Source organism: Homo sapiens, chromosome 22 (assembly GCF_000001405.40).
Source record: "Homo sapiens chromosome 22, GRCh38.p14 Primary Assembly".
Taxonomy (NCBI): Eukaryota; Metazoa; Chordata; class Mammalia; order Primates; family Hominidae; genus Homo; species Homo sapiens.
The window spans coordinates 21,151,231-21,167,825 of NC_000022.11; the positions used below are offsets into that span (position 1 = coordinate 21,151,231).

General features: G+C 38.0%; 2 annotated features.

The window, feature by feature from the left end:
- Positions 2,226-2,412: a silencer, noted in NCBI's record as "fragment chr22:21507745-21507931 (GRCh37/hg19 assembly coordinates)". NCBI's record gives its function as "represses an EF-1alpha promoter that drives an FKBP-Casp9 reporter gene in an ReSE screen in K562 erythroleukemia cells {active_cell/tissue: K562}" and the evidence as "EXISTENCE:reporter gene assay evidence [ECO:0000049][PMID:32094911]".
- Positions 8,556-8,756: a silencer, noted in NCBI's record as "peak4462 fragment used in MPRA reporter construct". NCBI's record gives its function as "represses an SCP1 promoter by STARR-seq MPRAs in K562 erythroleukemia cells {active_cell/tissue: K562}" and the evidence as "EXISTENCE:reporter gene assay evidence [ECO:0000049][PMID:32103011]".

Sequence of the window (16,595 nt, forward strand, 5' to 3'; positions counted from 1 at the left end):
CAGCTAGTGTTCCCAAATGGCCCAGGGATCAGGTCTTCATCGCTCCACTCAGAGGGAAGCATCCTCTCTCTGCTTTTTAAATAGACTTTTGACTGGGGCTCCAGCAGCGCGGGGCGCGCAGACCTGGAGTTGCATGGAGGCCAGAGCCACGACACCCGCCTGGGGAACGGAGCAGCCCCAGGAGCTGATCCCCGTCCACCTGCCCCACGGAGCCCTCGCCGCCCGCTTGCCACTGCCTGCATGGCCCTCCTGTCCCCGGCCCCCCAGCCCTCCTTTCCCCAGCTCCCCCACCCTCCTGTCCCCGGCACCCCAGCTTCCCAGCCCCCGAAACCGCCCCCCCACCTCGACCCGGCCCATGCCGCAAGTCGCCCGCTGCGCGGACCCGGCCTCCGCCCGCCTCCTGCGTCCTGGGGGAGGCGGCTGCCGGGGGTGGTGGGGGAGGGGGAGGGGGAAGAGGCCGCCCTCCGCCCGGGTGCGGGGAGGGGGCGCAGGGGTGTCCGGCCAGGCCCCCCGCCTCCCCGCCTCCCCGCAGCAGCTGCCCCGCGCCCGGGCCGCCTAATACTTTTACATTTTAACTTTTATACTACAGTGAAAAGTGATTTACACACCACCACTGCAATATTACAGTGTTATGAATGTGACTATATACTTACCTTTCCCTGTGAACTTTTTTTTTTGGGACAGAGTCTCGCTCTGTCGCCCAGGCTGGAGGGCAGTGTCCATGATCTCGGCTCACTGCAAGCTCTGCCTCCCGGGTTCAAGTCATTCTCCTGCCTCCGCCTCCCGAGTAGCTGGGACTACAGGCACCCGCCACCACGCCTGGCTAATTTTTTGTATTTTTAGTAGAGACGGGGTTTCACCGTGTTAGCCAGCATGATCCCCCTCTTCTGACCTTGTGATCCACCCGCCTTGGCCTCCCAAAGTGCTGGGATTACAGGCGTGAGCCACTGCGCCCGGCCTACCTGTGAACTTAATATCTTAATGTTTTAATGTTGCTAATCAGAATCCTTTTATTTCAACTTGAAAAACTGCCTTATAAGGCAGGTGCAGTGGTGATGAACTCCCTTAGAATTTTTTTGGTGGGAGTCTGGGAAAGACCTTATCATCTCTTTTTCATTTCTGAAGGACAGCTTTACAAGTTGTGGCCTTCCTGATTGGCAGTTTTTTTCTTCCAATACATTGAATATAGCATCCTATTCTCTCCTGGCTTATAAGGTTTCTGCTGAGAAATCCACTGATAGCCTTATTGAAGTTTCCTTGTATGTGATGAATTCCTTTCTTCTTGCTGCTTTTGAAAGTCTCTGTCTTTGACTTTTGATATTTTAATTATAATACATCTTGGTATTATGGTCTTTGGGCTGGCCTTTTTTGGGGCCTCTGAACTTCATGTGTCTGGAAGCCCACTTGCCTCTAAGAATTTGGAAAGTTTTTACCCATTATGTCTTCAAATATACTTTCAGGCCTTTTCTATCTTTTTTACTTCTAGGAAGTCCATAATATGTTTGACCCACTTCATGGTGGTGTCCTATAAATCCCAAAGGTTTTTACTTTATAAACTTTTTTTTCTTTCTGGTCTTCTGACGGGATATTTCAAATGTCCTGTCTTTAATTTCACAGATTCTTTCTTCTGTTTGATCAAGTCTGCAATTGAAATTCTCTATTGCATTTTCATTTCATTCATTTATTTATTTTTATATATTTTTGAGACAGAGTCTGTGTCACCCAGGCTTGAATGCAGTGGTGCCATCTTGGCTCACTCCAACTTCCACCTCCCGGTTCAAGCGATTCTCCTGCCTCAGCCTCCCTAGTAGCTAGGATTACAGGCATATGCCACCATGCCTGGCTAATTTTTGTATTTTTAATACAGATGGGGTTTTGGCATGTTGGCCAGGCTGGTCTTGAACTCTTGACCTCAAGTGATCCGCCTGCCTCGGCCTCCCAAAGTGCTGGGATTACAGGCATCCGCCACGGCACCCAGCTTGCATTTTCATTTTATTCATTGTATTCTTCAGTTCTAGAATTTCTGTTTGGTTCTTATTATTTCTGTATCTTTATTGAACTTTTAGTTTTGTTCATCTACTATTTTCTTGATATTATTGAGTTGATATATACATTCTAGTAAATTTCACTGAGCTATCTTAATTATTTTGAATTGTCAGGCAATTTGTAGATCTCTATTTTTGGGGGGTTGATTACTGGAGATTTATGAGTTTATTTTGGTAGTGTCATATTTGCTGATTCTTCATGATCTACAGACTTTCATTAATGTCTATGAAGAAGCAAATACCTCTTCTTCTTTTTTTTTTTTTTTGAGACAGAGTCTTGCTCTGTCACCCAGCTGGAGTGCAGTGGCGTGATCTCAGCTCACTGTAACCTCCACCTCCCAGGTTCAAATGATTCTCCTGCCTCAGCCTCCCAAGCAGCTGGGATCACAGGCATGTGCCACCACGCCTGGCTAATTTTTTTGTATTTTTTGTAGAGACAGAGTTTCACCATGTTGTCCAGGCTGGTCTCAAACTCCTGGCCTCAAGTGGTTTGCCCGCCTTGGCCTCCCAAAGTGCTGGGATTACAGGTGTGAGCCACCATGCCCAATCTCTTTCTGTCTTTATAGATTGGTTTCAGCAGGTACAAACCTTTTCCTGCTGGATCCCTTGACTGGATCACAGTCAAGTGGGCCTGGAGCCATATCACATGGCTGCTGCCTGGTCTGCAGCTGAATCTCTGATTGGCAGGCCGCTATCAAGGCATAGGTTGGTGATGCAGTTTCTGCTGGATCCTCAGGAGAACTGGACTGCCTCTGATACCCTGATTGAACAGGACTGGAGCCAGGTCATGGGGCCACTTCTAGTTCTACAGTCAAGTCTTCAGATATCAGGCCTATTACCAAGGGCATGGACTGGTATAGCTCCCTGTGGGTCCCAGATTGAGCTCCTGCTGGCTTACTAGGTAGGTCCATGGGAAGACAGGACTGCCTCCAGACCACAGTAGAGCAGGGCTAGAGCCAAGTCACAGGACAGCTTTGGTGACCACATTTGGGTTCAAGATTGGTGGTCCTCTTATTAGGAGAATGGATGGTATGTCTTTCACCAGGTCCCAGGATGGGCTGGACTGTGCCCAGACTGTGGCAAAGCAAGACTGGAATGGAGTCACAGGGCTACTTTAGTGTCCATAGCTGAGACTGAGATCAGCAGGCCTGTTACCAAGGGCATGTAAAGGCATCACTGAATTCCTGGGCAGGCACGACTGACTGTGGTAGAGTGGGGCTGAAGCCAGGTCAGGGCTGCTTTAGTTTCTGCAGTCAGGACCATGGTTAGAAGGCCTGTTACTGGGGGCATAAATGGTCATGGTTCCTCCTAGGTGCTTAGTGGATGGGGCTAGTTGCAAGACCATGATCTAGTGGAGCTGGACCCAAGTCCATAGGAGGACAAAGCTGCTTTCAGTCTGCAACTGGGAACCTGTCACTGGTGTGTGGACCTGCCTTCTCAAAGCAGCTCTCCTTGGTTTTGGGCTTTGCTAGAGTTTTGCCACCTCCTGCCTGGATATTAAAACTCTTGCAAAGGCAGTTTTGTCCATGAATGGCTGCCAGATCATTGTTTGTGTGGGGAGAGGTGAGTGGAGGGCCTCCTGTTCTGCCATCTTGCTGATGTCACCCTAAGATGATTATTTGAATTCTTTGTCAGGCAATTTGTAGATCTTCATGTCTTTGGAGTCAGCCACTGGAGTTTCATTTTGTTTCTTTGGTGGTGTCATATTTTCTCATGCTTCCTGTTCTTTGAAGACTTAGATTGCTTTCTTCATGTTTGAAGAAGGAGTCATCTTTTCCACTCTTTACTAACTTCAGGAGAGAAAGACCATCAATTAGCTAAGCTATAGATTCTGGGGGTCTCTCAGTCCTTTTCTGTGGGTGGTCCTTCCCTTTTAAGGGGGATGTCTTAGGATTTTGTCCCTTGTCTTCATTTCACAAATGAATAAAACAACCAGACCAGACATAAGTAAGGAAATACAGCACTTGAACAACACCTGAAAAAACAACTAGACCTAACAGACATACACAGGATATTCTACCCAACAACATAATACACATACTTCTCAAGTATACATGGGACATTTTCAGGATAGACCACATAACACATCACAAATTAATTCTCAATAGGGGCTGGGTGCAGTGGCTCACATCTGTAATCCCAGAGTAATTTGGGAGGCTGAGGCGGGTGGATTGCTTGAAGCCAGGAGCTTGACATCAGCCTGGCCAACACGGTGAAACCCCATCTCTACTAAAAATACAAAAATTAGCTGGGCATGGTGGTGCGTGCCTGTGATCCCAGCTTCTTGGGAGGCTGAAGCGTGAGAATTGCTTAGGAGCCCAGGAGGTTGAAGCTGCAGTGAGCAGAGATTGTACCACTGTACTCCAGCCTGTACTTCATGACAAAGAAAATGTACCATTGTACCACTGACAGAACGAGACCCTGTCCCAAAAAAGGAAAAAAGCTCAGTAGATTTAAAACGATAGACATCATACAAAGTGTCTTCTCTGACCACAACAGGATAAAGTTAGAAATCAATAACAGAAGATTTTAAAAAGTTCACAAATTAGTAGAATTTAAACAACACACTCTCAAACAACCAATGGATCAAAGAAATCACAAAGAAATTATAAAATTCTTAAAGACAAATGAAAATGAAAGCACACTATATCCAAACTTATGGGCTGTGGCCAGTTGTGGTGGCTCACACCTGTAATCCCAGCACTTTGGGAGACTGAGGGAGGTGGATAGCTAGAGGTCAGGAGTTCAAGATCAGCCAGGCCAACATGGTGAAACCCTGTCTCTACCAAAAACACAAAAATTAGCTGGGAGTGGTGGTATGTGCCTGTAGTCCCAGCTACCCAGGAGGCTGAGGCATGAGAATTTCTTGAACCCAGGAGGCAGAGGTTGCACCACTGAGCTAACACCACTGCACTCCAGCCTGGGTGACAGAATGAGACTCTGTCTCAAAAAACAAAGAAACAACAAAAAAACACAACTTATGAGTTGTGGTGAAAGGAGTGCTAAGGAGGAAATTTATAGCTATAAACACATTAAAAAAAGAAACACCTCAATTCAACAACATAAGTTTACACATTAAGAAACTAGAAAAAGAAGAATAAAACTAAACCCAAAGTTAGCAGAAGGAAGGAAACAATAGAGATCAGGGCAGAGATAAATGGAAAAGAGAATAGAAAAACAATAAAAAACAAAACCAAAAGTTGGTTCTTCAAAAAGATTAATAAAACTGACAAGACTAAGGAAAAGGGAAACAATCTAAATTACTTAAAACAGAAATGTATTTGAGAATATCTTTATATATTTCTGTCTGTCTGTCTGTCTGTCTATCTGCCTGTCTATGTTTTAGAAACAAGTGTCTGTCTATGTCTTAGAGACAAGGTCTAGCTCCATTGCCCTGGCAACAATCAGATGCAACCACAATCAGTGGCACAATCGGCTCACTGCAGCCTTGAATTCCTGGGCTCGCCACTATGCCAGCTCTTTTTTTTTTTTTTTTTAAGAGACAGGATCTTGCCATGTTATCCAGGCTGATCTTGAACTCCTGGCCTCAAGGAATTTTCCCACCTCGGCCTCCCAAATTGTTGGATTACAGGCATGACCCACCATTCCCAGCCTAGAAAGGATTATAAAAGATTACTATAAATAATTGTGTGCTCATAAATTGGATAACCCAGATGAAATAGATGAATTCCTAGACACACAAAACCTACCAAGACTCAATTATAAAGAAACAGAAAGTCAGAATAGACCTAACCTAGTAAGGGAATTGAGTCAGTAATAAGACAATCTCATGACAAAGAAAAGTCCTGGACCTGATAGCTTTACTGGTGAGTTCTGCCAAACGTTTAAAGAAGAACTAACACTGATTCTTTTCAAGCATTTCCAAAGAGTGGAAGAGGAGTGAATACCTCTTAACTCTTTCTATGAGGCCAGCATTACCCTGATACCAAAGCCAAAAACACTGTAAGAAAATAAAACAACAGATCAATATGCCTCTGATCATTGATGCAAAAACTCTAAAAATGCTAGTATACTGGGTGGGGCACGGTGGCTCATGCCTGTAATCCCAGCACTTTGGGAGGCTGAGGTGGGTGGATCACCTGAGGTCAGGAGTTCAAGACCAGCCTGACCAACATAGAGAAACTCTGTCTCTACTAAAAATACAAAATTAGCCATGTGTGGTGGTGCATGCCTGTAACCTCAGCTACTCGGGAGGCTGAGACAAGAGAATCGCTTGAACCCGGGAGGTGGAGGTTGTGGTGAGCCGAGATCATGCCATTGTACTTCAGCCTAGGCAACAAGAGCAAAACTTTGTCTAAAAAAAAACTATCATACTGAATTCAGCATCATATTAAAAGGATTATACACCATGACCAAGTGGGATTTATTCCTGGAATGCAACGATGTTTCAATATATAAAAATTGATCCATATAAATTCAGATAATTAATTTTAACTGATGTATAGTTTTACATTATATGCACATACCACGATTCACTTTTCCATTTTCCTAGTAATGAGCTTTAAGATTATTTCCAATTTTTAGCTATTACCAATAATGTTTCAACAAACACCTTTGGACATCTCTTCTGCAAATGTGTGTGTATTCTCTTGGAGAAGGTTTACCTTGTGGAACTTCTAGTGTGTATGTGTATGTGTGTGGGTATATATATATACACATATGTATATATTTTCAACTTTACTATATATTTCCAAAAAACTCTTCAAAGTGGCAGATTTAAACTCCCCTTCACCGTATATAAATTCACGGTTCCTAAAGCCCTTGGCATAGTTTTGTGTTTTTATAGAAAAGGGCATAAAGTCTTATTGCTGTTGAATTGTACCTTGCTCTTTTCAATTGTCTTTTCACAATAATTCACTATTTATCATCTGTTGTGAATATTGTGTAGTAGTTCTTAATCATTTTTTCTACTATATTATTTATTTTATATCATTAATTTGTAGAAATCCTCTTTATATAATGGATATTATACTTTTCAATTATATATTTTGTAAATATTTTACCCAATTTTCTGGCTTGCATTTAACCTTTATTTAGGATGCCTAGGATTTTTCATTTTAATACAGTCTAATTTATTTTTCTTTTCTTTTCTTCTTCATGCATTCTGGCATTTGATTAATAAGCCATTTGTTGCCCAACGTCATTAGTTCTCTGTATATACTTTTAAATATCTTAAACATGTAATATTCATAAGTAATTTCACAAGTAGTTTAAGATTTGAGTCTTTAACCTAAATAGATACAGGATTTTGTGATATGCTGTAATATACAGATTTTTATTTCTATATGGATAAAAATTTATATGTTTTTTCTGACATCATTTATTGAATAGTATAATTTTTCTACTGACTTTTAGTATCATATCTTTTATTACAAGTCCAATGTATTCAGCATATCTATGGATCTATTTCTTGGTGCTTCCATTTTTTCCCATTGTTTAACGGTGTATCACTGAGCCAAAGCAAACCATTTTAATTATTATAATTAAAACACATTTAAATATTGATAGGCTATTATTGTTCAAAATAACTTTGGTTCTTTCTTTCCATTGATTATTTTAATATGACTTTTCCAATCAAGTTCTAAAAAAATACTGGTGGTATATTTATTGAAATAACTTTAATGAAATTAAATGAAAGATCATGTATTTGTTTTCTGAATTAATTCTTAGATACATTAATGTTTTATGTTACCATGAATGTGATATTATAATATAATATTTTTAATTGGTTGCTACTGTTTATAAGAATTTCATTTTCTGTTTACTTTGCCTTCATATCTGAAAACCTTGCTGATTTGATTAGTGCATCCACAAATTTTCTTGGATTTTCTATGGGTAATTACAAATCTCCACACAATGAGGTTGCAGTGAGCCAAGATCACACCACTGTACTCCAGCCTGGGCGACAGAGTGAGACACCATCTCACAAAAACACATAAACAAACAAACAGAAACTCCACACAATGACAACGTATGTGCTTTCTTTTTTTCTTCCTCTTTCTATAATATTTCTTTGTCCTATCTTAACTGAACTGGCCAGAAACCCCAGGACAATGATAAATACGAGCAGTGTCAACAGACATCTCATTCCCTTTCCTAGCTTTTATAAAAATAACGATTATGCTTCAACATTACATATGGTGGTGTCGATGGTTTTGTTATAGATAAGCTTATCAGGTTAAGAAATTTGTCTGCGTTTCCTAGTTTGGTATAAAGATTTTAATATAAATGAATGTTGTATTTTATCATCTTATTTTTTTCCTACATCTGCTAAGGTAATCCTGTGTTTTCCCCTTTTCAATCTCCTAATGTGGTGAATGACATTAAAATACCTTCTATTGTTAAAATATTCTTGCAACGCTGTATAGAACCAATGCCTTTATTCTGTATTGCTGATGGATTTTTGAAAAATATGTAGGTGGACTTAGTTTTCTAAGGGGAATAGAATTTCTAATATATTTAAAATATTTTGCATGTATGTTCTGAAGGACATTGGTGTGTCATTTCTATACCATCTGGCTACTAGAGGAGCCGACTGAAAGTCACACTGCCGGAGGAGGGGAGAGGTGCTCTTCCGTTTCTGGTGTCTGTAGCCATCTCCAGTGGTAGCTGCAGTGATAATAATGCTGCAGTGCCGACAGTTCTGGAAGGAGCAACAACAGTGATTTCAGCAGCAGCAGTATTGCGGGATCCCCACGATGGAGCAAGGGAAATAATTCTGGAAGCAATGACAATATCAGCTGTGGCTATAGCAGCTGAGATGTGAGTTCTCACGGTGGCAGCTTCAAGGACAGTAGTGATGGTCCAATGGCGCCCAGACCTAGAAATGCACATTTCCTCAGCACCGGCTCCAGATGCTGAGCTTGGACAGCTGACGCCTTGGATCATCTGCCACTGATCTCTGGTCAACATTTTTATCACCCAACACAAAAGAAGCAGAGATTTATCAAGTTACTTAAACAACCTGACCCTTTCATCTTTTGCTACACATACTCTTGTAATTGATCTCTCCATGAATTGTTTTCTGTTTAAAATATCTAGAATGTTTTCTGCTTCCTGACTTGATTCTAATATTGTATAGGTACTAGAAATGGTTCTAGAAATAGATCTTTATAGATGAGAATCTGGAAGTGGTTTGCTGACCTGTTTCAGTCTGAATGAATTCCTGACCTTGTTGTCGGGAGGAGACAGAAACCTGATCATCTGTAGTGTACGGTGGTATCATGATTACTTAAATCATCAAATGTGGTTATTGGGAATGATGTGTTTTTTAAAGTGGTACATGAGAGGTAAAATTGCTATTGTAGTTGACTGTTGCAGTTATAATTTTGTCAACATGGTCTGTAAGAGTGCAATGGAGTCGGCCCGGTGTGGTGGCTCACGCCTGTAATCCCAATACTTTGGGAGGCCAAGATGGGCCGATCACGAGGTCAGGAGATCGAGACCATCTTGGCTAACACAGTGAGACCCCATCTCTACTAAAAATACAAAAAATTAGCCATGTGTGGCGGCACACGCCTGTAGTCCCAGCTACTCGGGAGGCTGAGGCAGGAGAATGGCGTGAACCCGGGAGGCAGAGCTTGCAGTGAGCCGAGATCGCGCCACTGCACTCCAGCCTGGGCGACAGAGCAAGACTCCATCTCAAAAAAAAAAAAAAAAAAAAAGAGTGCAATGGAAAGCTGGTAGAAAATGGACATTGTTTAAAGACCAAAACAACCACACTACTTTGCTAATCCCTATCAGCTAAAGCCTAGAGAATATATGAGGCATAGATTTACATGGTGTTTGACTAAGGCATGCAGAATATAATCTTGACATAGGCTAAGTTTATCAACATAGATACCTAGAGATTCTGAAGTTAAAGTCTTAGCCCAAGAAGTTAGAAGTGGTGCTCAAGTTTGTTTGTCTGACAGAAACTGTGAATCCACACTGGCCTGCTTATTTTGAGGTTGTGTTGCCAGAGCTTTCCTAGCATAATAAAGAGAGGTGCATACAAAGGAATAGGAATAGTAGGAGGTGGGGGTAAAAATATCAGGTGTGATCCACATGCCAAGCCGACCCGCGCTGTGTCCCACAGGAAGCCCAGAAGATGTTTCTGTAAGAAATTAAGGATTCGTTTGTTGGGGAGGGCTGCTGGCATGCTTGAAAAGTACTGTGACGGCTGAATTTTGTGGGCTTGGGGAGATTGCAGATTCTCTGATTTCAAGGGGAATGATGTGATCCTAGAGTTGCAAAGAACAAGTGACAGTGGAGGCGCTTATGCTTTGTGACTGCACTAGAGACAAGGAAGACACAACTAGAATAATGGGGAGCAGGAATGGAGCGGCCAACAGAATATCTGACTGTTAGGGATCTTTGATGAAGGCTGATTCTCAGGGAGTGAACTACATCAGTGACCAACTATTTGTCTTTATATAACTGGGTAATGTGGATGGATTCTAATAAAGGGACTACTTACAGCACAGCAGGAAAGTCACAAAGAAACCAGACAGAAGAGTGTAAGTAGTAAGGGGCCAAGCAGTCACCTGACTAGAGACAGTGCCAGCTTGCCAAGAAGGCACCAGACAGAAGCTGTGATCTTCAGCAAAGGGACACAGTCTGCCTGTGCTGACCCTGCAGGGGCAGAGGTGGGGGATAAACACACTCTTCTCTCACCTATCTTCTGCCACCCCCTCCATTAGCTGAACCCCAATAAAAGCATGAGGGTAAGGGAGATCTCTGAAGTATCCAATTCAGGTGAGCCTCCTAAGGAACAAAGCAGAATGCAGAAAAATTAAGAGTGGGTCTAGGGAATAAAATAGAGATATGCACCAGAGTATGATGATGTGTCTGGGAAAGAATATACAAATACTTTTAAAATTACTAGACAATAAACCTGAGATGACACTAATACAGGTAAATCTCATTTAATGGTAATATATTCCAAGAAATGCATCATTAGGTGATTTTGTGGCTGTGCAGACACCAAAGAGTGTACTTTATACAAACCTAGACAGCGTAGCCTACTACATACCTAGGCTATATCGTACAGCCTATTGCTCCTGGGCTACACACCTGTGCAGCATGTCACTGTGCTGAATACAGTAGGCCAATGGTCCGCAACACCCAAGCCATGGACCAGCACCGGTTCGTGTCCTGTTAGGAACTGGGCACAAAGCAGGAGATGAGTGGCTGGCCAGCCGAGCATTACTGCCTGAGCTCCGCCTCCTGTCAGATCAGCAGCAGCATTAGACCTTCACAGGAGCACAAACCCTATTGTGAACTGCCCATACAAGGGATCTAGGTTATGTTCTCCTTATGAGAATCTAACTAGGCTGGGTGCTGTGGCTCACGCCTGTAATCCCAACACTCTGGGAGGTCGAGGCAGGTGGATCACAAGGTCAAGACAATCCTGGCCAACATGGAAACCCCGTCTCTACTAAAAATACAAAAATTAGCTGGGTGTGGTGGCGCATGCCTGTAGTCCCAGCTACTCGGGGGACTGAGACAGGAGAATCACTTGAACCCGGGAGGCAGAGGTTGCAGTGAGCCGAGATTGTGCCACTGCACTCCAGCCTGGCAACAGTGGGAGACTCAGTCTAAAAAAGAAAAAAAAAAGAAAAAAAAGAATCTAACTAATGCCTGATGATCTGAGGTGGAAGAGTTTCAGCCCAAAGCCATCCCCACTCCGTGGAAAAATTATCTTTCACAAAACCAGTCCCTGGTGTCAAAACTTTGGGGCCCACTGCTGTAGGCAGTTATATCACAGTAGTAATATCTAAACATGGAAAAGATACAGTAAAAACACAGTACATTGGGAGACCGAGGGGGGCGGATCACCTGAGGTCAGAAGTTCGAGACCAGCCTGACCAACATGGAGAAACTCCGTCTGTACTAAAAATACAAAATTAGCTGGGTGTGCTGGCGTGGGGCTGTAATCCCTGCTACTCGTGAGGCTGAGGCAGGAGAATCACTTGAACCCCGGAGGCAGAGGTTGCAGTGAGCCAAGATCGTATCATTGAACTCCAGCCTGGGCAACAAAATAAAACTCCTTCTCAAAAAAAACAAAGAAAAAAATATATATATATATTACAAAATTTAAAGAGAGTGGTACACCAGTAAAGGACATTTAGCATGAACAGAGGTTGCAGGACTGGCAGATGCTCTGATGAGTCAGTGAGTACTTGGTGAGTGAATGCGAAGGCCTAGGATATTACTGTACATAACTATAGACTTTATATGCACTGTACACTTAGGCTACACTAAATGTATTTAAATTTTTTCTTTCTTTAACAAGTTCATCTTAGCTTATCATAACTTTATAAACTTTTAATTTTTTTAATTTTTTGATTCTTTGATAATAACACATCTTAAAACAAAAACACATTGAACAGCTGTACAGAAATACTTTATATCCTTATTTGATAAGCTTCATTTATTTTGATTTTTTATGTTTTAAACATTTTTGTTAAAAACTAAGATACAAACACACACACTAGCTTAGCCCTGTAAGGGTCAGGATAATCAATATCACTGTCTTCCATCTCGAAATCTTGTCCAAGTGAAAGGTCTTCAGGGTCTTCAGTGGCAATAACATACATGCAGCTGTCATTCTCTATGATAACAAGGCTTTCTTCTGGAAGAACTCGTGGAAGACCTTCCTGAAGCTGTTTTATAGTTAATTTTTCTTAATGAGTAGCAGTACTACACTCTAAAATATGAATAAAATCTATAGTATTATACATACTGTTGATCCTTGAACAGTGCAAGGGTTAGGGGACCAGCTCCTATGCAGTTGAAAATCCATATATAATTCTGGGCTATCCCCAAACTTAACTTAATATACGATATATATCATATATAATATATATGATATATATCGTATATATTACATATGATATATATCGTATATAATATATACGATATATATCATATATAATATGTATGATATATATTATACACAATATGTATGATATATATTATACACAATATGTATGATATATATTATACACAGTATGTATGATATATATTATACACAATATGTATGATATATATTATACACAATATGTATGATATATATTATATACAATAAGTATGATGTATATTATATACAATATGTATGATATATATTATATACAATATATGATATATATTATATACTATATGATATAGATTTTATACAATATATATGATAGAGATTATATACAATATATATGATAGAGATTATATACAATATATATGATACAGATTATATACAATATATATGATACAGATTATAAACAATATATATGATACAGATTATATACAATATATATGATACATTAGATACAATATATATGCTAGATTATATACAATATATGATATAGATTATACACAATATATATGATATAGATTACATACAATATAAATGATATAGATTATATACTATATATGATATATACGGTATATCGTATATATGATATAGATGATATATCGTATATATGATATAGATGATATATCGTATATATGATATAGATGATATATCATACCTGATATAGACGATAAATCATACATGATATAGATGATATATATCATATATGATATAGATGATATATATCATATATGATATATCATATATTATATAATAAATGAAAAATATTATCTATAATAAAAGACATATATTACATAATAAATGATATATATTATGTAAAATATATGATATGTATTATATATTATATCTGATATATATTATATATTATATATTATATCTTTAATCTGATATATATTATATATTATATCTGATATCTGATATATTATATATTATATTATATATAATTATATTATATTATATTATATATAAAATTTATGATATATATAATATATTATATATAATTTATGATATATATTATATATTATATATAATTTATGATATATATTATATATTATATATAATTTATGATATATATTATATATTATATTTCATATATATTATGGTATATTATATATAATTATATTATATATTATATTATATATAATATACCATAATATATCATATATTATATAATATATAATATAATATAATATAATCATATATAATATATAATATATTTTATTATAAAATATATTATATTATGATATACTATATATTACATATTACATTATACAATATTTTATATAATATATAATATATATTATATATTATACTTTATTATATTACATATATAATTATACATTATTATATTTCATATATAATTATATATATTATATTATATATAATATTCTGTATAATAATATATATTATACATAATATTATATATTATGTTATATATAATATTATGTATAATATATATTATACAGAATATTATATATTATATTAAATATAATATTATATCTTATATTAAATAAAATATTATATATTATATTAAATAAAATATTATATATTATATTAAATATAATATTGTATATTATATTAAATAAAATATTATATATTATATTAAATATAATATTGTATATTATATTAAATATAATATTATATATAAGGGATGCAGGATGTAAAAGGAAATTATATATATGTTATATATTATATATATTATATTATATATAATTATATATATATATTTGGGGGTGCCCTATTTCCTATCTCATAACTTATTTTAAGAAGCACAGCATAATAATGTGTGGACTTGGGATTCAGTTTTTGAAACGAAACACTGAGCCTTCGATGACCTTCCTGTACATCTGAAAGCACACCTGTCTGCATGGCAGCAGTTGGACCTCACAGTGTGGATTGTGCCTTCACCCTGGAATGTTTATGCCCTATCACCATGGTGATGGGATTAGGGATCTGCTGCCCTTGGTCCTAAGTGCCACTATCTGTGCTGAGTTTTTCAAAGGTCAGAGCAGATTGAACCTTTGTGGTTTCATTTTCCCTGATTTTGATTTTTCTTATGGGGAACCTGTGTGGCTGCATTCAAGGTATGTTCATACTGGCCTGTCAAATGCGATCTTTTCAAATTACTAGTTAATGCTTTCAAAATATGTTATTTAAAAAATTAGCCTCTGTATTTTCCATATGCAGTTATAAATATGTTTCATGATTATGTTTTATTCCTCAATTTATATATTTGATTATTGTACCAAGCAGAGTATCTTTGAAATTTTTCTTCATTTAAAAAATATGTATCTTGACTCAGGCCTGTAATCCCAGCACTTTGGGAGGCCAAGGCAAGAGGATCACAAGGTGAGGAGATGAAGACCATCCTGGCCAATACAGTGAAACCCTGTCTCTACTACAAATACAAAAAATTAGCCAGGCATGGTGGCAGCTGTTGTAGTCCCAGTGTGAATTGGGATTCAGTTTATTCCCAAATTCCCAAATTATATATATATATATATATATATATATATATATATATATATATATATAAAATATATCTATAATATATTAAATATATTATATATATAATATATATTATATTATATATAATTTTATGTATATATATATTTGTGGGTTCCCTATTTCCCATCTCATAACTTATTTTAAGAAGCCAGCATAATAATGTGTAGGCTTGGGATTCAGTTTTTGAAACAAAACACTGAGCCTTTGATGACCTTCCTGTACTTGTAAAAGCCCACCTGTCTGCATGGCAGCAGTTGGACCTCACAGTGTGGATTGTGCCTTCACCCTGGAATGTTTATGCCCTATCACCATGGTGATGGGATTAGGGATCTCCTGCCCTTGGTCCTAAGTGCCACTATCTGTGCTGAGTTTTTCAAAGGTCAGAGCAGATTGAACCATTGTGGTTTCATTTTCCCTGATTTTGATTTTTCTTATGGGGAACCTGTGTGGCTGCATTCAAGGTATGTTCATACTGGCCTGTCAAATGCGATCTTTTCAAATTACTAGTTAATGCTTTCAAAATATGTTATTTAAAAAATTAGCCTCTGTATTTTCCATATGCAGTTATAAATATGTTTCATGATTATGTTTTATTCCTCAATTTATATATTTGATTATTGTACCAAGCAGAGTATCTTTGAAATTTTTCTTCATTTAAAAAATATGTATCTTGACTCAGGCCTGTAATCCCAGCACTTTGGGAGGCCAAGGCAAGAGGATCACAAGGTGAGGAGATCAAGACCATCCTGGCCAATACAGTGAAACCCTGTCTCTACTACAAATACAAAAATTTAGCCAGGCATGGTGGCAGCTGGTGTAGTCCCAGTGTGAATTGGGATTCAGTTTATTCCCAAATTCCCAAATTATATATATATATACATATAAAATACATATATAATATATTAAATATATTATATATATAATATATATTATATTATATATAATTATATATATATATATTTGTGGGTGCCCTATTTCCCGTCTCATAACTTATTTTAAGAAGCCAGCATAATAATGTGTGGGCTTGGGATTCAGTTTTTGAAACAAAACACTGAGCCTTTGATGACCTTCCTGTACTTGTAAAAGCCCACCTGTCTGCATGGCAGCAGTTGGACCTCACAGTGTGGATTGTGCCTTCACCCTGGAATGTTTATGCCCTATCGCCATGGTGA